Source organism: Homo sapiens, chromosome 11 (genome assembly GCF_000001405.40).
Source record: "Homo sapiens chromosome 11, GRCh38.p14 Primary Assembly".
NCBI classification, from domain to species: domain Eukaryota; kingdom Metazoa; phylum Chordata; class Mammalia; order Primates; family Hominidae; genus Homo; species Homo sapiens.
The window spans coordinates 84,262,510-84,285,450 of NC_000011.10; the positions used below are offsets into that span (position 1 = coordinate 84,262,510).

Genomic DNA, 22,941 nt, shown 5'->3' on the forward strand with positions numbered 1-22,941 from the left:
TTTCATCCTTTACTCCATAATCATCTTTTTTTTCATAAGTTATTGGGGTACAGGTGGTATTTGGTTACACAAGTAAGTTCTTTAGTGGTGATTTGTGAGATTTTCGTGCACGCATCACTCGAGCAGTATACACTGCACCATATTTGTAGTCTTCTATCCCCTGACCCCCTTTCACTCTTCCCCTCAAATCCCCAAAGTCCACTGCAACATTCTTAGGCCTTTGCATCCTCAGAGCTTAGCTCCCACATATCAGTGAGAACATACAATGTTTGGTTTTCCGTTTCTGAGTAGCTTCACATAGAATAATAGTCTACTGTCTCATCCAGGTCACTGCAAATGCTGTTAATTCATTCCTTTTTATGGCTGCATAGTGTTCCTATTTTTAATAGAAACATAAAGTTTTGAGTCATTGATAATGGAATCAACCTGACAACCCAGGTGGTTCCTGCATGGCTATAAAAAATCAGGCACTCTGTCTCCCTGGAAATAACCACACTCCAGTCAAGGAATTATGTTCCTAATATAAAGATGGCAGAACTAGGGAGTCAGGAGATCTTAGTTTCAGACCCAGTAAGTTAAGTAATTCAGCAGTTTACTGAGTCTCCCCAGTTAGTTTTATTTTTTAAGGAATAAAGAGGGAAATGGCTTCTGAAAGTCCACTTCTCATCAAGGATCTAATTTTACTCTTGCAAAGTTCATCCTGCTAGGAAATACTGTAAAGAAAGCAAGGATGCTGTATAACTTTTCATTCTGGGAAATGATCTCTGTTTTTACCACTCAGACATAGAAAGTTAGGAGACAGGACATTAAGAAAAGCATGCAGAAATAAAAGACAAAAGTTAAATTTGATAAGGAACAATTATAGAAATTGGTTTCTAATGACTTGGCTGAAGCATAATGTCCTGTATGCCTTAGACAAGGCACCTCAAAAATCTATATATGGTCCTGTTGTTCTATGTTCATAGTTCATATTTTGTTTTTCTTGTAAACAGGTTAATTTTCTGGCCTAAGAACTATGTAATCAGCAGCAAGGAGTTCTCTTCTATATAAAGAGTAAAAAAGATTTGAAGTGAAGCTGAGAATTATTACCAAGCTCTTTCTTCCATTATTGCCTCTATCCATTTTCTATAAGGTATAACTCCAGAAAAAAAATCCCTCTGCCTTCATTTTTCCCCTACTCACCATAATTTGACACTAGATCATACACTAAGATTTGAAACATAACAGGTGAGGCTATACAGAAAGTCTTAAAATATTTTATATCTAGAATGATTCTTTTGTGTGAGAAGAAATTTTAGGGAGAGAGGCAAAGATGAAGTATGAGTTTTAGTTTGCTGTTATCCATCAGTAATCTGTAATGTGCTTATGTTTATGGTGGGCCTGGAGGATGTTCCAAGACTTGTTTCTAAACAATGGCACTTGGGCGCTCATTACAAGACGAACAGGGTACAGGATATTTTAGTTTCATTTTCCCTTATTTTAAATTCTCATAACATCTGTAAGTCTAAGAATCTCCCCTCAACCCATTTTTCTTCAAAATTAATGTTCAATTTGGAAACATTTCCAATGAGGAAAAACATGGAGAAAAATAACAGATAAAAAGGAGACGTGAATGGGGACTAGAAACATAGAGGTTCACTAAATACTGCTGGCATTTGCTGATGCCAAAGAATATACTCTGCAGATGTGTTTCTATATTGTCATCAACTAGGCAATGAAGTCTTTGTTCTCCAAGCCAAGAGCCTACAAATCTCTGGATCCAAAATGCCAACCAGTTCCTAGCCCCACAGCTGTTCTAGCTTCCCACAGTGGCAGTGTCTATGTTACTCTTGCTTTCTCAGTTTTCTGGTGGCTTTCTTACTTTAAATTATTCTATAAAGCAAGGATACTGCTTGTTCAGTTTACCTCCTAGTAGGCCTGGCATAATGCTACAACTGTGTGTTTAACATAAAGAAGGAGGAATATTATCTGTTGCTGTGGGCTAGAGGAGAGATGGGGAAATAACAAGAAAAAAGAATGAAAGAGAAGGAGCACAGGGAGTAGGTTGTTTTCTGGTATGTGGGGACTCTGTCACAAGTTGGAGAGTGAAATGATGATTCCCAGGCTGGGACTCTCTCTTCTGTGCTCTCAGACTCCTTTTTCCATTGGAATTGTAATCTCAGGTACTCTGGAACCTTCATTTGTTTTATAAAGGTTTTTCCTAACCAACTAGAAAGGAGATGATAACTTCCTTATGAATATATTTGCAATCATCTCGTGACTGCTCCTCACCCACCGTTACTGGATAAGAACATTTGTATCTTATGCTTTTATGTCATAGGATGAGCATCTTCTAGTCCTGCACTTGGATTTAGCAGACGAGGCTTCTAGGACTGGCTGTGGCCCTGTAGAACTTAGTCAAGTCACTTAACTCTCTGAATTATTTCTAAGGTTATATACAACTATAATGAGAATCGTATGATTCCTGATTTTAATACTAGTCTAATTTTGAATATCATAAAAGTAGTAATAAAAGAGTTTAGAACTTGGATTATCTGTCTGGGATTTAAGATCTTTCTCCTCACTTCTGCAATGGTCTTAGCTAATTAATTTAATCTCTCTGAAAATTTCTATTCATGTATAGATGTTAAAAGTTATTATTTCATCAATATCATGTGGTTCTTCAAGAAGCAAATGTAGCCATATATGAGGACATTATGCAATTTGTAAATGTATATATTTGGGAAAATATTTAAAAATTTGCAGCAACAGTAATAACAACCTTTACCAGGCACACTTTTGGGTCAGGCACTGTGTTAAGAGTTCAATTCACATGATTTTGTTAGACTTCGAACAATGCTAAAAAGTTATATATAACATCTAATTTTACATTGGATGAAACTTAGGCTCAGAGAATTTGAGTAATTTACCCAAGATAGCAAATGGTGGAAGAAGGATCCTTCAAGTAGCTGAAATTCTGAATCAGAATAAAAACTGAACTCGGATTTTAGTCCTACTACATTATGTCTTACTGTTTAACCATTTCTGATCCTGGCCATTTCAACTTTCTAAGCTTTAATTTTCATATAACTACTATGAAGATGATAAAACTCGTCTTGCCTAATTGTGAAAGTTGTAACGAGAAGTAATCTAGTTTATACTACTTTGAAAATTGTAACAAGATAAATAAATATAAGGAAGATAGGTAGTAGTAGTAGTAGTAGAGGTAGTCTTAGCAGCAGCAGCAGCAAGAGTAAAAACATTGGTGTAATTTTTTCAACTCTACATGATGAAAATGAGAATTCCCATTGCTCCTAAGCATCTTCTCGCTAAATAAAAATATCTAAATGAAGCTTCAAAAACTATGGCATATCTAGTATTAGCTCATTAAAGCTTTTCAGATTTTAATGTGTATATATTTTTAAATTTTGGTTTGCTACATGGAAGAGGACTGCCATTATTAACTCTGAACAGCTGTCTATTTTTCTGTTCTGTAACAAATAAGCTTGGCGTTCTATTTTTGCAATTTCTGGGATGGGTATGGAAAGTGGAAGTGGCAGAATGTAAGCTTTACTCTATTGTACAATAACTATATCAGTGCTAATACTCCATTTTAATGAGTCATCAAAACATTTTATAATGAGCAATACTGGAATACAAAGAAGGCACCCTGCACCTGGTGTTAGTTTTTCGTGGCCTCCAGATGTGTATGCACAGGCATCACAAGACCGGTAGTCAAAGAAAATGCAAACTTCACAAGTGAGGAAGATATAAAGATAGCAGGCTCTTGCTTTTTTGTTAAAAACCTAAAGTGACAATTTCATTCCACTTTACCAGCAATCTGCAAATGTTCTTGCAGTCCCAAGCTATTGTAATTATCCAGGTCGCTTCTGGTGTAGTTCCCCTCTCTGCCTTAAATTGAACATCTCCATAGATTAAGTGTCATCTTTATTCCTATACTAATAGAAATTCCATTAATAGCCTTGTTCATATTCTTCAGAAGGAAATGGACTAAAAATTGGGGTATTACTAAACAGAAATGCAAAGCAAGGTTAAGAGGAAGGAAACAGGGAAATGAATCCAACATGATTGAGGATGATGAGTTAAGTACTATTTAGAATCCAGAAAGGACAAAACGCACTTGGAACACCATGAACTGGGACTGAAAGTCATCACTGAACAAATCCTATTTAGAGCTGACCTCAACATATGATGGTTCAAACTATACATCCAGGGACCACAGAGGCAGAGTTGGTGGATGTGATGCTGGAGCTCAGGAGACATAGTTTAAGAATTTATCTGAGGCAAGAAGGATCATTTCCTCATTATCGTTTCATTGTTGCCTAAATTCTCCCTTCTTAAGTATTCACCATTCCATCTATGCAGATTTACTTAGGAAACATAATATTTAAGAAACCATACTTGGCACTGCAGAAAGTAGGAAGAGGAGAAGTGCATAGTCTTGCCCTGCAAGGAATTCATAATGTCATGTGGAGATAAAAGAAACCTCCCAAATGCTTATAATCCAAAGCAGAAAAAAATGCACGAGAGAAATAGGGACAAAGTCCCATGACAGGCATGAAGAAAGGCAGGTGGGATTACGGTTGGAAGACCTAGGTTCTTTCCTGGTCTTACTGGCCACAAGATTTTAAACAAGGTACTTAACCCCACTAATCCTCTGAAATGTAGATAATAACAATGATCCATTTCATGTTGGTATTGTGATGATTGCGTACAAAAGTATAGATTAAAGTAGTTGGTAAGAAATTTCCCTACTCTTATTTTTCCTCAGGGGGATGTTAATCAGGGTTGAAGTAAGGAGGGAAAAGGCATGTCTTCTGGTTACTAGGCATAAGGAAAGGCTTGTGGAAGGGGATAGGAGTTAAGTCCTGAAGGATACAACCTTACTTTGAAGACCACTGTCCTCAGCTGATCTGTTTATCTTCTCTTCAACTCCGTCCTTCATCTTCTTTAGCACTGTATCCTATTCCTGTACCACTAGTCACTAACTGGCCCCTATCTTAAAGTTCTGTGGCTGTGGGTATAGAAACTCACTTGCACTGGCTTAAGCAAAATTTGGAATTTGTTGTCAGGCTAAAAGGACAAGAAGCACAGCAGGGCAGGCCGTCTGATAAACTGGAACTAAGAACTGGGAGTTTTGGGGGACCCAGAAAGTCACAGTCCAGCCTCTCTTAGTTCTTTTCAGCCTCATTTCTCTGTGTCTTTCTTTGAGACCACATAGTTTCTCACCTCCTTTTCTTTTTCTACATTTGTTTCATTCTTTTACATTTCTGCACAAACGTTCTCTGCTTCTCCATGGATATACTCAATTCTAGGCACCATTGTCAACCTGTAGGTCAGGCCACACATAGCAGGGACAATTAAGCCAGGTTTCTGAAAATAATCTCTTTCTTGAGGTTCTCTTCTGAGGCTCCAGTGCCTTTGTCTGTGGGCTTGAATTATTTAGTGTTGTTTTTATGATTTACCTGTATAATTCCTGACCTTAAATATGACCCAACTCTCATCCTGGTTGTTCTGACCTTGCTTCTGTAATGCTCAAAGTGTTAGATCACAAGTTGGAGAAAGTTAGTAACATACTCTCATTTCATACTGCTCTTTCTTGCCTTAGTGACTTTGTTCCAGTTGTTTTTAACCTCTCACCTCCCTCATCTTGTAAACCCCTGTTTTAAAACTGTCTCAAGACTTTTCTCCTTTTTCTAGCCTTCGCTGGTTATCTTTCCTTTCCATCTCACGCAGATGGATCACTCTTCCCTTGCTGCATTTACCATGGTTTGTACATCTTTTAATTGCTGCTCCTAATCACACTGCAATATAGTTTTCTTGGTTTTAGTGTTTTCTTCTTACTCTAATGAGGTGGTTAAGAATAACGCTCTCTGAGGTTGGAACACTGAGTTCAAGGACCAGTCATTCCATTTATTAACTATGTGACTGTGGGAAAGGTACTTCACCTCTTTTTTTTTTTTTTTTTTTGAGACAGAGTCTCGCTCTGTCACCCAGGCTGCAGTGCAGTGGCGCGATCTCGGCTCACTGCAAGCTCCACCTCCCAGGTTCACGCCATTCTCCTGTCTCAGCCTCCCGAGTAGCTGGGACTACAGGCGCATGCCACCACGCCCGGCTAATTTTTTGTATTTTTAGTAGAGATGGGGTTTCACTGAGTTAGCCACGATGGTCTTGATCTCCTGACCTCGTGATCCGCCCGCCTCAGCCTCCCAAAGTGCTGGGATAACAGACGTGAGCCACCGCGCCCGGCCCATCTCTTTTTTACAGTTTGTAAAATGGAGATGATAGTACCTACATCAGAAGTTGCTGACAGAATTGAGATAATACATGTAAAATGCTTGGAACAGTGCATGGCATAAAATTGGTACTCAGTAAATATTAACTATCACTTTTTGAACTGCCAGTACCTAGCCCAGGGTGTGGCAAGCAGGATGTGTTGTTTGCTGGATAAATGAATTATATTTTAAAACTAAAGCATATTTGGGAGGATGTTTTATTTCTTTTGTTTTGTTTGTAGTGACTGAGAAAGTATCTACTATTGCTACACTTTCTGATAATTGATGTTTATCTGTGTATGTATACATGTAATATTGAATTGCAATTGTGAGAAACACTGTAAACAACTTGCATAGGATAGTATTCAAGTGTGTAATAGAGATACATGTGTAACTGTTTATTTAATGTCTGTCCCCACCACTAGAAGGTAAATACCCCCAGGGCAAGGTTTGACTGTGCCCTATTTATTATTAGATGTTCCAGGCATATCGTAATTTCTGACACATAAAAGGTATTTAATAAGCATTCATTGAATAGACGAACACATGGAAAAATAGACTGTGTTTACACAATTTACAAGTGCCTTTTCTGTTTCCTCCACTTGGAATGTCCTCTTCTTCCATCATTACTGAGCGTCAAAATTCTGTTTAACCTTCAAACCTAGCTGAGACAGCCTTCCATGAAGCTTGCCCCTTCTCTGAATTCTTGTGGTAATTCATAGACTCTTAGGATACTCTACATTTTGCATATGGTATTACAGTGATTTGCAAATCAATTTGAAAATTCTTGGGGGCAGAATTCCAATTAGGGGTTCTCCTGATTTATACACGTTTATATCTCTCCCAATGCTTAATAAGCCGCATAACCTTCACATTAGGGTCAGAATAAGTTTTTCTGAGATGAATGAACGAATGAATTAATAGTATTGCGACTTCTTTTTGACTGACAGAAGCCCCAAGTCTAGCAGCAAGATGAGCATAAGAACTGTACTTAGGACCCACTGATCCCTGTGTGAATGTTTTTATGAAATCCAGATATGATTGTTAGCAGTATAAGGAAAACCAAATTTGTACATTGCAGCAAGAGATATTAGGGCACCATTTGGTAATACTATCTCTCTTACAAAGTGATGATGTCACAAAGAAGTTTTAAGTTTACTTTTGGGCACTTGTCCTGTCTAGAATAGTGTCTGACACATAGTAGGGGCTCTAGAAAATGTGAGTGAGCTGATTGAACTAACAAACGAATAAAAACACAGGCCAGTCTCTATGAAAAGAACTACTAATTATGAGACTGTTTTTATAAGCATATCTACTCATTTGAATAAAATTGCAAAGCCTCTGATTTGCCTAATATCCAAAAATACTGACTGCCTAGAAGAATGTCCTTATGCCTCCAATGATGGAACCAATTTAAAATACTTCATGAGAACTTTTTATTATTCATGCATTTAATAAATATTTAGGAGCTTACATTCGCCAGACACTTAGGCTAAAAGATAAGAAAAGTTCTGTGTTGCTGTTTTGCACTTGTGGCTCTTGGATCAGCAGATGAACTTGCTTGAGACTCCAGATTTTATTTACATCTTGTTAACTCTAGGGGAGGATCTAATATGTGAAATCAAATCCTGAAACTTTGAAGGACTTCATAGTTTGGTTTCCTTCTTCTCTGAAGACTGTTTTGAGCAGCACTATCCAGGTATCAGCCACTTTAAGGTTCCTTTCACCAATATGAATTTTATATGGGAGGTTCCCTGGGGGCAGATTATATCATGACTTGAGATTTTATGTCAGGTTTATTGTTAGTTCACAGAACTACATTGACTGAAAAACCAGTTGTGATTCATAGCTTATGGTGTGTGAGTGAGATGATCCGGACCATCTAGGTGGCTCCGCATTCTAACGATGCGTTAGGAATCCACACTCACAGTAGATGCACAGAAGAGCATTTACTTGCTTACGACCTTTTCAGGTCAATTCTCCTAAGATTAACGACATCAATATGTGACTATACTTTATAGACATTGTTCATTTTCAAGTATTTGATTTAAAAGAGAACAAGGTTTATTTTAAAGGAGGCAATTATTTGAGCCGTATATTTGTCACTGATTTAACATAATAGACTCAGCATGATAGGATATGTATACTTCAGGATTTATTACGATACTGTAAACAATGAAGTGTATCATTAGTACAAATTCCATACAAGTGAAAATACATGTGTGTACATGAAATACATATCATTGGGTTAAAAAGTGCATAAAGCAGGGAATACATAGAGTACCTTTTCTGCTGACAAAAAAATAAATTGAGGGTCAGTTTATAAAGAGTTATTCTTAACTGATAATATTTTAATAATGGCTATAATTTCTAAAAGAAGCTCTCATGAAATTGTGATGATATAATCATATGTTTAATAAAGACTTGGAAGATGCTTGAGATATATTGGCAAATTCCCAATATGTTCTGAAAAGATTTAGAGCAGTCAAAACTAAAGCAAACCTGAATGATAATTTGGGCATGATTTTATATATGTGTGAATTAAGCAAAACTGGAAACACACTGGAATCAAAGACAGAGTAGCCCACGAATTATGAGAATTGAATCCAAGGTTAACTGGACACATAGGGGTCTATTCCATGTATTAACACATCCCTGCCCCTACCACTACACCACCACAATGCTATAGTCAAGGTTCTGAGTTTTCTCCAGATGGACTTTAATAGAAATAATTTTATGAGATCAGTAAAGACAAAGCTAATAATGAAAACTGTCAAGCATTAATTGGAAATTGGAGACGCTTGTTGGTTGATTTAGTCATTCCTCACTTGCTCACCAAGCACTCTTTATGTGCCAGGCACTGTGCTAGACACTGGGAATAGATGCACTTCTGTATTTAAGGAGCTCAAGACAAGACAACAACAACACAAACAAATAAATGTTAGTTCCTTTCTCCAACTTACTTTCCTATTCACATTTACCCCAAAAGTAACAATATAATTAGAGAGACTGAGAGGAAACACTTAAGAATAAAATGTTAGGTGATAAATCAGAGATGCACACAAGAAATCAAGAAGGGGGAAGATAACCCTGCCTGGCAAGGGATGGCTCCGTGAACGAGGAAATACTTGAGGTCCACAAGGAATATCACACTTTGATAATAACAAAAAAAAAAAAAAAAAAAAAAAGGAAGAGAAGTCTCATAAACATAGGAGAAGCAAACTATACTTTCTAGATTCTAGTTCAAAGCAGGATCCTTATAGCAAAATGATTTAGAGAGTTTCCCACCATTAGTTTTTTAGACTTCTTACAAAAATTATATAAGCTTTATGGCTTTAGTAGTCAAGATCAACTTACCGTGATCCAACTAAAATATAGTGGTTCAATTAGAAGAGCTTCAAATATAGCCCAGAGTTTGTGACATTTAAGTGATTTCGAAGTTACAGGGAAAAATATGATGGCATCTAACTTGAGTCACTTGAAAATAACATGAACTTCAAGGAAGATTTATTCCAACTGTTGAAAGAAGCATATCTCTTGAGTTTCTATGTCAGAAATAATGTTTTTCTTGAGAAGGTACCAAATAAATTTTAGCAGAGATTATTTTTTAAGACTCTTCTCTCATAGCTAATTGGTGATCTCAATTCTTCAAAGTAGATCTAATGAAAATAATCAAACATTTTAATATTCTTCTTGGTAGTCCTATTTACCTTATCTCGGCCTATCAAATGTTGCCAGCCTGATTCCTCTGGTTAAATAAATTATAAACACAAACATTATTTCTCCAAAATAAAACACAATGACACTGATTCACTAATTCACTTTACATAGCTATACACAACTTCTGTCAGAAATTTTTACAAAATCTAAATATTGCATCACTACTTTACTAAAGAAGCAATTATACTTTTCAAGATAACTTTTTTGGTGGGTTTTACTTGGAGTAAAGAATAGCAATTTTGGTTTCTTGATCTATATATCAAACCTAACTGCAAAAGATATTCAAGTAGCTCTGGGGGAACCAATGGGGAAATAAACATTGCAGTTTATTTCAAACATTAATATATGGAATATCAATATTGTTTCCTTTCTTTAGTACATGCCACTATTAGAAACTACTGTCTTCAGTGGGATGAGTTTGATTGGACCACTGTTTATTCTTTCTCACCGATTAATGCTTGGACATATTAAGAATTAGGAATTCATACAGAGAAAAACCATATATTTAGCCTGAATGAGAACTACAGAGAAAATAACTATGATCATCAAATGCACAGAATTTATACATTTCTCTATAGATACAACAGGAGAAAAAGGAAGAATAAATAAAAGAATCCCTAGGAAAATAAAAGAAAATTTTCCTTACCGGAATAAATGCATGTTGCATAGCTTGTTCACATTGTTTTAAGGAAGCAATAGTATCCCACAAAAGCTGATAATTCTCAGCCCGAGAAACACTTGGCCGTTGCATAGCGAAAGCTGGTAACACTCAAACTGAGCTCACAGAACCCAGTTGAAGAGGAAAAAAAAAAAAAAAAAAAAAAACCCTGCAGATCTGTTACATAAACTTCTTAATTAGATCTGCTACACAAACTGCTATCTTAAGACTTAAAAAAAAAGTTAATCAGAACATTTCTTTTGGGGGATAACTGGGCATGACTTGAACAGAGACAGATGTTTTCATCGGGAAGAATTTTCATTCCTACACTTGTGAAAAGCAATCCCATCAGTGCTCTCCTGTCTTCACACGGGTCTGGTGAAATGGCACATACCATAAGCGTGTAGGGGGAAAGAAGTAGGAAGAAGAGAGATGTGAAAAAATATTCCTACCAGAAGATTTGGGTGGCAGGTCATGGTGGTGGAATTTAAGTAGCTTGTGAAAAGTAGTAACATTGAAGGGAGTCGGTTATATACACACATATATGTACATATACAGATGTCAGCACTTGTTTGCTGTGTCAGAAATACAACTATATACATGCATACTCACAGTGTCATTTAATATGTCCAGCTCTCCTCTCAGTTTAGTTAAGAGCTAGATGTGACATATTCTTCACCTACAGAGTATTACTGTCTTAATGGCACTATGAGTTGTTTATCTGGGATTATCTCTAAAGACAAGCCAGAAGGCATCATAAAATGTAAGAGTAACTAGAAGAACTTTATGTTGCCTATATATTGAAGAAAAGTCACTTTTATTCCTTATTCTAGATAAAATTTACATAGATAATACAAGGAGAATCGTGTCTTTAAATGTTCTCGGGAAATGAGAGTAGGCTGGAATGTGTTAATTCCAAAGAAATATGCATGTGCACTTCGACAACAAAAAAGACTCGTATAAGCATGAAATAAAATATGAACAGAATTTAGGGACATATTCTCAATTCCCTTCACCAAGGACAGTACCCACACAGGGAGGTGAGGCTCCACCAGTCCCTAATGTCTCTGTAGGATTGCTGAGCTAGAAGGTGCTAGGAGGTAAGGCATCTTGGAAGGTGATGCTCAGAGCACTTGGAAGTTCCAAAGGAATCCGTACTCTAAGGGCTGGTTGCACAGTCAACAATGGTGATATTTACTCAAGCATGTCAAGAGGTAAGAGGCAAAAGGAGAGAAACTCACAGCATAATAAATTATGCATTTAATTGACCTAGAAAATCCAAGGAAGACCAAACAAGGTACAAATTGTAGGAAACAGTTTGATAACATACACGAAATATTTTCCCTGTATTATTTTTGGAAGAGCAGCATGATTTGGGTTACCTAGTTTTCCTCCATTTGTACCCTGATGATGGTAGACTGGTTCATACTAATGCCCTTGTAGTGTTAAAGTCTCAAAGGCTGACACCAGGGAAGTTTTCCTCTTACCTTCATTTCTTTTCAATTTTGAACTGAAGGAATGAAAAGTAGAACTGATCTTTCAAAATCTTTACCTAATTTGTAAATTTTACCTAATTTGTAGGGAAATTGTTTTTCCTTAGTACTTCACGAGCACACACCATAAGGCTATTGCCATTAGACAGTTTGTTTTTCAATATCAATTCAACCAACCTTCTCTTTTTCTCATTCATGGTGTTCTGTTCAGCTCACACCCACAGTCCCTCCTCTGCCTTCATTCCTGCCCTTATAGTCTCCCATCTGCCCCAGCCACATGCTTCTTCTCCATGCATTGTCGACCAGCCAGCCCACAACTTTCAGAAAATATTCCTTCACTAGTAAATGTTCTGAATTTCTCAGGAAACAACAGGAAAATAAAAAGCTGTCTTTTAAGTTACCTTCCAAAATCCCAGTCATTCCTCTCTGAAATTCTTAAGCAAATGCTTATCATTATTCCAGACCCCACTTGCTGGGTCTTGTGAGGCTTTTCCAACCTCCTGTTTATCAGGTTCCTTTATTCTTTCCTTTAAAGAGCATGTCCTAAAAATCCTCTTCTCTTTAGTTTTTGGGGAAAAAAAGGTAAAGAATTCATAGTCTTTGTGTGTGGAAACAGTTTTAAAAACTGCCCTTTGAATCTTGCATTCATTCATTTATTCATTGATCCAACAAACATATCAAGCATCTCCCATGTGCTATAATTTTTTTTTTTTTCTTGAGACGGAGTCTCGCTCTGTCGCCCAGGCTGGAGTGCAGTGGCACAATCTCAGCTTACTGCAAGCTCCACCTTTCAGGTTCACACCATTTTCCTGCCTTAGCCTCCTGAGTAGCTGGGACTACAGGCACCCGCCACCATGCCCAGCTAATTGTTTTGTATTTTTAGTAGAGATGGTGTTTCGCCATGTTAGCCAGGATGGTCTTGATCTCCTGACCTCGTGATCCACCTGCCTCAGCCTCCCAAAGTGCTGGGATTACAGGCATGAGCCACACACCCAGCCGTGCTATAATTTTTGGTAGTACTTTGGACAAATGAATACATCAGATGTTGCCTCTACCTTTAAGGAGAATCTAACAGAAGGGATGGTAAATCAGCACAAATAACAAAAAGGCAAATTTAAAAACGTGTAAGTACCATAAAAGAGGTAGCATAAACTATTTAGAAAGCAATGAAAAAGAAGAGATTATATCCATGGTGGACATTAGGGCAGGCTCATGGAAGATTTAGCACTTTGCTAGAGTCTGTTGTTAGGGTAGTATTTAGTTATACAGATATAGGGGGAATTCTGAGAAAGGAAAGGTACAGCAAAGGCACAGGGTGGGAAAGGCTTCATTGATTATTGTTTTGGAAGAAATGTGACACCAAGAAAAAAATTGTAAATCAATGATTACCCAGCTTAAAATTAAGATTTAGACCAAATTTGAGCTTATTCTTGATTGAAAACTAATAGCTTCCTATTCTTGATGCTAACCAATATTACCTTTAACCAACTCACAGATAATTCATGTTCATAAATTCAGTGAAAATCTTCTTAAACCTCTTGAGGTGATAAGTTCTATGTGTTTATTCCTCACTGTTTGAAATAGGCACATTGATATACGTTTGGAGGCCCTAGGTGGCTCAATCATTTAGGTTATATTACTTATTATTTTTCATTAAGCAAATATTACGTGTTTTGTATTCCTGCCCACTTTCATAAGTTCTAAACTTCCTACTTTCTAAGTTCAAGTGGGGTCCACTATAAATCCAATATTTACCTTATCAAATATTTAACTTAGTTCAATTTGACTCAGTTTAACAAACATTTATTGAGCTCTACTATGTGCCAAGAACTGTGCTAGAAATAGAGAACACAAAGATAAATGTAATATTATGTCAATCCTCTGTTTCTTTTCTACTATCACTCAGTGTGCAACTGTCTCTGCCCACAAGTGGAGCATATGTATTTTCTTCCTGTTAGCACGATGCTTGATAAGTAATTGCTACCATTTTTTTTCCATTAAACACGCAGTCACTAGGCTACATGTCTATCACATCTAAATATGTCACGATGCTCTAACTTAGACTGCAGACCTCAGAATACCTAACGGTACCTTTGTATGGTGGGACTACCATACGTTGAGTGCTTTCTGCTGGTGAATGGTTTAAATTTAACTTCATGACAATTGCACTTCCAGTAAAAATAGAGTAACAGGGCCTGGATTTGCATTCCCACCTAAAATAACCAAACAAAAGGACACAATGTAGGAAAGAATGGGTTTCAAGAATGCACATGAGACAAAAAACAATGAACACAGAGAGAAAAGAAACAAACAAGGTGGGCCCTGTGATTTCTAATTCTTATAGCCTTTAACTTCCAGGCCATATTCCAGAAAGGAGGAATCCAGTTGTGGCCAATGGACTTGTTGCGTTGAGAAGACAGAATTGGTTTGCTGGGAAGATCAAGGCAGCAAGTAGAAATAGATAAATCCACAATTATAATTGAAGATATCAACACCTTTAAATAATTAATAGAACAAATAGAAAATCTGTAAAGATAGAGAAGACTTGTATAAAACTAGGCACCAATTTGAGCTAATAAACCTTTATAGAATATTTTACTCCACAACAGCAAAATGTACACATTTTTAAGTGCTCAAATAGTATTTACCAAGATAGAACATATTTTTAACTTGAAATCAAATTTTCATAAATTTAAAAAGATTCACGTCACAGGAAATATAATCTCTGGCTATAATAGGACTAAGTTGAAAATCAATAACAGAACAATCTCTGGAAACTCTCAAAATATTAAGAAAATAAATGACACAATTCCAAATAGCTCACTGGTTAAAGAAAAAAATTAAAAATGAGAATATATTTTGAACTGAATGAACATAAACTACAATATATTGAATTTGCTGGATTCCCTTAAAGCAGTAATTAAGGAAACATACATATCACTACACGCTTATATTTGAAAAGAAGGTAGTGTCAAATTACTGACTTCAGCTTCCATCTTTCACGAGAAAAAAAATATAGCAAATTAAACCCAAAGTAGGCAAATGAAAGGAAATAAAAAATAACAGCACAGAAGATAGAGGAAAACCAATGAAAATGAAAGCTGGTTCTTTGAGAATATCAATAAAATTGATGACACTCTAGCAAGACTGATTAGGAGAAACAAATTATCAAAATCAAGATGGAGGAAGATGACATCCCTGCCAATCCTACAATCCTACAAACATGAGGAGCTAATAAGGAAATCTTTATGTATGTAGGTATATATTTATTTATTTATTCTTATAGACAGTCTAATGTTATGATCATGGCTCACTGAAGACTTGAAATCCTGGCTTCAGGCAGTCCTCTGGCCTCAGCCTCCTGAGTAGCTGGGACCACACGCCTGGCTAAGTTTTTTTTTTTTTTTTTTTTTTTTGAGACAGGGTCTCACTTTGTTGCCCAGGCTGGTCCTGAACTCCTGGCTTCAAGCAATCCTCCAGCCTCAGTTTCTCAAAGTGCTAGGATTATAAAACATGAGCCACTGTACCTGGCTGAGAAAATCTTATAAACAACTTTTTCCCCCCAAAAATTAATACCTTAGATGAAATGGACAAATTCCTTGAAAGATGCAAACTAATCAAGAAGAAATAAGTACTTTACATAGTCACATCATAAGCTATTAAAGATATTTGTAATTAAAATCATCCCACTAAGAGAACTCCAGGCCCAGATGGCTTCACTGATAAATTCCCTCTAAATATTTTAAAGAAAGAAATAATAACGATTCTACACAAAATTTTTCAGAGAACTCAAGAGGAACAAATACTTTCCAGATCATTTTTTTTTTTTGAGGCCAGCATTACCCTAATCCCAAACCAGATGAAGATATTACAAGAAAAGCTAATATCAATAAACCCTCATGAATATACAAGCAAAAATTCTTAAAAAATTTTTTAGCAAATTTAATCGAACAATATATAAAAAGGATAATGCATCATGACCAAGTAGGCTTTATCCTGGGAATACGAAATTGGTTTAACATTTACAAATGAACCAATGAAATTTATTAAGTTTTCTTTTCCTGAAAATTAAATAATGAATTTATTCATATGTTGAACACCTCGTTAACTATTTTCACAAATTGTAATTATGAAATAGTAAACATTATTTTATTTATTTATTTATTTATTTTATTATACTTTAAGTTCTGGGGTACATGTGCAGAACATGTAGGTTTGTTACACAGATATACATGTGCCATGGTGGATTGCTGAACCCATCAACCCGTCACAAAAACACCAAAAGTAATGGCAACAAAAGCCAAAATAGACAAATGGGATCTAACTAAAGAGCTTCTGCACAGCCTATGAAACTAGCATCAGAGTAAACAGGTAACCTACAGAATGGTAGAAAATTTTTGCAATCTATCCATCTGACAAAGGGCTAATATCCAGAATCTACAAAGAACTTAAACAAATTTACAAGAAAAAAACAAACAACCCCATCAAAAAGTGGGTGAAGGGTATGAACATACACTTCTCAAAAGAAAACATTTATGTAGCCAAAAAACATATGAAAAAAGCTCATCATCACTGGTCATTAGAGAAATGCAAATCAAAACCACAATGAGATACCATCTCAAGACAGAATGGTCATCATTAAAAAGGAAACAACAGATGCTGGAGAGAATGTGGAGAAATAGGAACAATTTTACACTGTTGGTGGGAGTGTAAATTAATTCAACCATTGTGGAAGATAGTGTGGCGATTCCTCAAGGACCTAGAACTAGAAATACCATTTGACCCAGCAATCCCATTACTCGGTATATACCCAAAGGATTATAAGTCATTCTACTATAAGGACAAATGCACATGTATGTTTATTGTGGCACTGTTCACAATAGCAAAGACTTAGAACTAATCCAAATGCCCATCAGTGATAGACTGGATAAAGAAAATGTGGCACATATACACCATGGAATACTATGCAGCCATATAAAAGGATGAGTTCTCATCTTTTGCAGGGACATGGATGAAGATGGAAACCATCATTCTCAGCAAACTAACACAAGAAGAAAAAACCAAACACCACATGTTCTCACTCATAAGTAGGAGTTGAACAATGAGAACAAATGGACACGGGGAGGGGAACATCACACACTGGGGCCTGTTGTGGCATGGGGGTGCTAAGGGAGGGATAGAATTAGGAGCATTTATTAACTTTTTTTTAAAGAAACAAAACTAATTAACAACTTAACGATTATCTTAGTAGGCACAGAAACAACATTTTACAAAATCCAATATCTATTTCTGGTTTTAACAAAAAACTCTTAGGACAAGATAAGTACGTCCCTTCTCACCACTTATATTCAACATTGTCGGAGAGGTTCCAAACAGTGTAACAAGGCAAGTAAAATAAATACAGATTGGAAACAAAGAAATAAAGATGCTTTTATTACACATGACATAATTATCTGTGGAAAATCTCATGAATTCTAAAGAAATGCTAGTAGAATCTTTAGCAAATTTAACAAGGTTGTAGAACACAAGATTAATATCCAAAGATCAATTGTGTCTCTATATACTAGCAATAAATTCATAGAAATTAAAATAAAAAATAATGCAATTTACGACAAATTTTTGAAATATTAACAACTTAGGGATAAACCTGATTTTTTTTTTTTGAGACGGAGTCACGCTCTATCACCCAAGCAACCCCTGTATCCCGGGTTCAAGCAATTCTCATGCCTCAGCCTCCCAAATAGCTGGGACTATAGGCGCACACCACCATGCCCAGCTAATTTTTGTATTTTTTGTAGTGACAGTGTTTTGCCATGTTGGCTAGGCTGGTCTCAAACTCCTGACCTCAGGTGATCTGCCTGCCTCTGACTCCCAAAGTGCTGGGATTATATAAAACTGATTTTTAAAGTGTGCAAGGCATGTACACTGAAAACTACAAAAAAAGAAAAAAGAGGATATAATATTAAGATTTCATGCTCTGAAAACTGAATCCCAGATAGTGACTACAGGGGTTGAACCATACATCTATAAATAACTGTTTTTTTGTTTTTTGTTTTTTTTGAGACGGAGTCTCACTCTGTCGCCCAGGCTGGAGTGCAGTGGCACGATCTCAGCTCACTGCAAGCTCCGCCTCCCTGGTTCACGCCATTCTCCTGCCTCAGCCTCCCGAGTAGTAGCTGGAACTAGAGGCGCCTGCCACCATGCCCAGCCAATTTTTTTTTTTTTTTTTTTTTTTTTTTGTATTTTTAGTAGAGACGGGGTTTTACTGTGTTAGCCAGGATGGTCTCGATTTCCTGACCTCGTGATCCGCCCGCCTCGGCCTCCCAAAGTGCTGGGATTACAGGCGTGAGCCACCGTGCCCGGCCTAGATAACTGATTTTTAATGAAGGTACAAAGGCAACTTAATAAAGGAAAGATAATATTTTCAATAAATGATGCAGGGACAATTGGTTATCCATATGCAAAACAACAAACTTTGATTCACACCTCTTGTTACATGTTAACTCAACGTGGATTATATACTTAGATGTAAAACCTAAATAAAGCATCTAAAGAAAAACATGAGAGAAGATCTTTATGACCTTGGGTTAGGTAGAATACAAAAAGCAAAATCCATAAAAGAACAAACTGATAAATCAGACATCATTAAAATTAAAAATTTCTGTTCTTTAAAAAATATTGTTAAGAAAATAGAGAAGCCACAGAATGAAAAGAGATACTTACAAATCATACATCTCATAAAGGACTTGTTTCTAAAAAACAAATAACTCTTTTTTTTTGTCTTTTTTTAAAATTATTATTATACTTTAAGTTTTAGGGTACATGTGCACAATGTGCAGGTTAGTTACATATGTATACATGTGCCATGCTGGTGTGCTGCACCCATTAACTCATCATTTAGCATTAGGTAGATCTCCTAATGCTATCCCTCCCCCCTCCCCCCAGCCCACAACAGTCCCCAGAGTGTGATGTTCCCCTTCCTGTGTCCATGTGATAAAACAAATAACTCTTAAAATTCAATCAGAAAAAAAAACCCAAAAATGAGCCAAAGATTTAAACAGACACTTCACCAGTGAAGATATAGGTATCAAATAAGCATCTGAAAAGATAATCAACATCATGACTTGTTAGAGAAATGAAAATTAAAACCCCAGTAAGATACTACTACATACCTATTAGAATGGTTAATATTTAAAAAGACTGACCATATCAAGTGTTGGTGATGATGTGGAAGATTGGAAGTCTCATACACTGCTGGTGAGAATATAAAAAATTGTACAACCCCTTTGGAAACAGGTCAGTATTTTTTTCTTAAGTTAAATATGTACCTACCCTGGGATTTAATGATTCTGCTCCTAGGCATTTACTGAGGATAAATAAAAGCACATGTCTATTCAAAGACTTTTATACAAATATTCATAGTAGCTTTATCTGTAATAGCCAAAAGCTTGAAATAACATCAAAAGATGAATAGATTAAACAATTGTGGTATTTGCATGCAACAGAATAGTGTTCAGCAATAAAAAAGAATGAAATATTGACACATGCAAAAACATGGACTAATCTTTAAATAATCATGTTGAGTGAAAGAGGACAAACAAAAAGTACATACTATATGATCTCACTTATATAAAATTATAGAAAATGCAAGTTAATGTATAAAGACAGAAAGGAGAGTAATAGTTGACTGGGAATGGGGAGGTAGAGCAGGTAGGATAAGGTAGTTGGAGGGAGGGATTACAAAAGTCTGGAGAGATTACAAAAAGGCATGAAGAAATTTGCAGAGGGGTGATGGATATGCTTAGTATCTTGAATTGATGGTTTCATATGTGAAAACTCATCAAACTGTACCTCAGTGAAGCTATTTAAATTTTTTTAAGTTTCTAGAGAAACCATCAGGAAGTCTTATACTCCTGGGGCTTATCATAAGTGATAAGCACTCATCATTTAATGCTGTAATCTTGCAGTTCAATCTGTCTCCTTGAAGAGGGGTTGGGGGAGAAAAAAAAGCTTAGAAAGCAATGACCTTCCAGCAGGAAGGGAGGCAGAGGATATGGATAAGTTTAATCAGAGAAAAAGACCAAGACTTTACCATCCAGGACCTTACTTCTAGTTATGGTTCTTGCTCTAATTTAGCTGTAAGATCTTGGTTCAGTCATTTTGCTTTGACATGCTTCAATGACTCAATTTTAAAATGAAAGGATTAGATGCAACCAACTCTCAAGTTCTTTCAGAGCCATAACTCAATGATCTATAGGTATATTTTAAACATCAACAATCCCATTTTCCTCACAACTCAGCACTTATAGGTATGGCCCTAAATTTAGCAGAACCACTTCATGTAATTTTGAAGTATGTACTATGTCATATATGCTGGTAATCTCTCTCCTGTGATAGAGTAAACTCTCTGGAGGGTGAGGTCCTCTATCCTAAAATTTCTAGTTTCCCCATAGTATTTAAAGTTCAGAGCCTACATCATTGTAATATTGACTTTACAACTGACACTAAAATTATAACAATGCATATCTATCATTTTACTGCTTAAAAAGCTACTTTCCCACATGGCATCCCCATGAAGGTCTTATTCGTAATATACAGATAGAGAAATAGGTTCACAGAGGCTAAAGTAACTGACATCACCACTAACTAGCCTTGTGACCATGGCCAAGTTCCATAGTTTCTGTAAATAGAGCCTGTGAGATAATAGTACTTATCTCATAGGATTGTTGAGGATTAAATGAGTTAATATTGATAAAACTTTAGAGCAGAACCTGGCACATAGTAAGCACTATTATTAGTGTTTATGAAATTAATTTAACTTTACTGATTTATTTAACAAGTAAGAATTAAGTAATAGATCTAAGATTAAATTCACATCTTTTGGTTATTAGTCCAACATACATTTGACCAGTGATCAGTAATTATATAAGGTAATTGTAGATTCACCTTTCCTAACCACCATTACACCCTAGTCTAAAGGATGTAACCTCCTAGTTTTCTTCCTCCCTGAATCCTATTTGCTTCCTTTTCCTCCATAGTATTTACTTTTTAATTTTCTTCCTCCTCCACTAAACTGTAAGCTCAGAGAGCAGAAGCCAATGTACAGCCAGCTCCAGCACAGTACCTAGAATATAAGACTCTTTAAAGGTTTGCTTGATATTATTACTATTAATGGGGCCTAAATAGATAAAAGCTAATTACAATTTCAAAAATATATGTTAGTATATTTACCAGGATTTTCTGTATTAAAAAGATCTATGGTGAATTCAGCCATGACTCTTAAAAACAAAAAAACAAAAAATGGTCCAGGCACGGTGGCTCATGCCTGTAATCTCAGCACTTTGGGAGGTAGAGGCAGGTGTATCACCTGAGGTCCAAAACCAGCCTGACCAACATGAAGAAACCTGGTCTCTACTAAAAATAACAAAATTAGCCAGGCGTGGTGGTGCATGCTTGTAATCCCAGCTACTCTGGAGGTTGAGGCAGGAGAATCACTGGAACCCAGGAGGCAGAGGTTGCGGTGAGCCGAGATCGCACCATTGCAATCCAGCCTGGGCAACAAGAGTGAAACTCTGTCTCAAAAAAAATCAAACCTGGCATCTGACCCATTTTTTCCTATTTGAGAGAGTGATACCTTGATGGGCAAGACTCACATGACTGTGCCATGGCAAAATGGCAAATGCCATATTTTATAAGGGGAATTATATGACCTGTGGTGTATTGAAGTCCATATAATATAAAATTGTGCTACATATTCAATCATTCAGTCATGTCTCAAACCTGCTTAAGAGACGCGAGTCATCGTATTACAGTGATATCCTACACACACTGCAGAGTCTCTGGAATCATATGCCCAGTACTATAAGGGAAAGAAAACAAGAGACCTGAGAGAAGTTGACTGAAGTAGGTGGGACCCCAGGTCTTGTTTGCACATAGTTCTGCAGAATGCTAGATCACAGCATGTTAAACTTCAGACCAGAGTCAAGCCAGGACTAACCTAGATAGAACCGTGAGGCAGATGAAGTGTGTCTTCACCATCTTCTTCCCCATCTAGAGCCCTCAGCCATTCTCTACTGGACTTTCTTGACAGAAGGAAAGCTACCTGAACTCAACTGTAGGGCAGTATTAAGAATTTAATATGCCTCTCCCCCTACTTGCTTTCTTGACACTTTTCAAGGCCAGGTGTTAATCATATTTATCAGCTTGTTCTCAGCCTTTAGTGCATTGCCTGGCATATAACAAAGGACACCAAAGGTTTCTTAAATAAATAGGTGGACGTAGAAAATGTTTTACTTGATGTTGATGTTAGGAATTCTTTATATTTGCAGAGCATGTTTCGATTGACAAAACACTTTTATAACTAGGACTTCTCTGTTACTTTTCACATTCTCCCTATTTACACATTTAAACATTATTATGTAAGTGGCTCCCTTGTTTATTTTTTTGGCTCAGATTTCTCTCCTAAATTGAATATCCTGTTGCTTGCTGGTCATCTCTGCTCAGATATCTCACAGACCTCTCAGATATAACAGCTCCAAAAGCTGAGCTTTCATCCTCCTTCTTCCCTCCTCAAATCTGCTTCTCTTTCAACTTCCTCATCCAGTAAATCCCAGCTCCGCCCACTCCATTTCTCAAGTTAAATCTCAGGAGCCTTCACAACCACTTCATCAAGACCCTCTGATGGAATAATTTGGACCTGTCTGTCACCAGGGTCAGCTTGGCCCATCTCCCCCTTCTCTGTGACCTAGCCCCACAGGCCCTCTTCCATTATTTAGGATATAATACATCCCATTCT

At 36.6% G+C, this 22,941-nt stretch overlaps 1 protein-coding gene across 52 annotated transcripts in view; it reads right to left on the minus strand.

The window, feature by feature from the left end:
- DLG2 (discs large MAGUK scaffold protein 2) overlaps positions 1-22,941 on the minus strand; it is a 2,173,362-nt gene that overhangs the window by 807,498 nt on the left and 1,342,923 nt on the right. For 6 of the 52 annotated variants that reach the window (NR_165353.1, NM_001142700.2, NM_001377974.1 and 3 more), the window contains exon 1: positions 10,642-10,771. The exons of the other annotated variants lie outside the window; for them this stretch is intronic. Coding sequence is in view for 5 of the 6 variants with exons in the window: in NM_001142700.2 (NP_001136172.1) it covers positions 10,642-10,746 (105 nt within the window). In the remaining variant the exon portion in view is untranslated. Of the gene's footprint in view, positions 1-10,641; positions 10,772-22,941 lie in introns of those variants that run through there. 52 annotated transcript variants of the gene reach the window in all.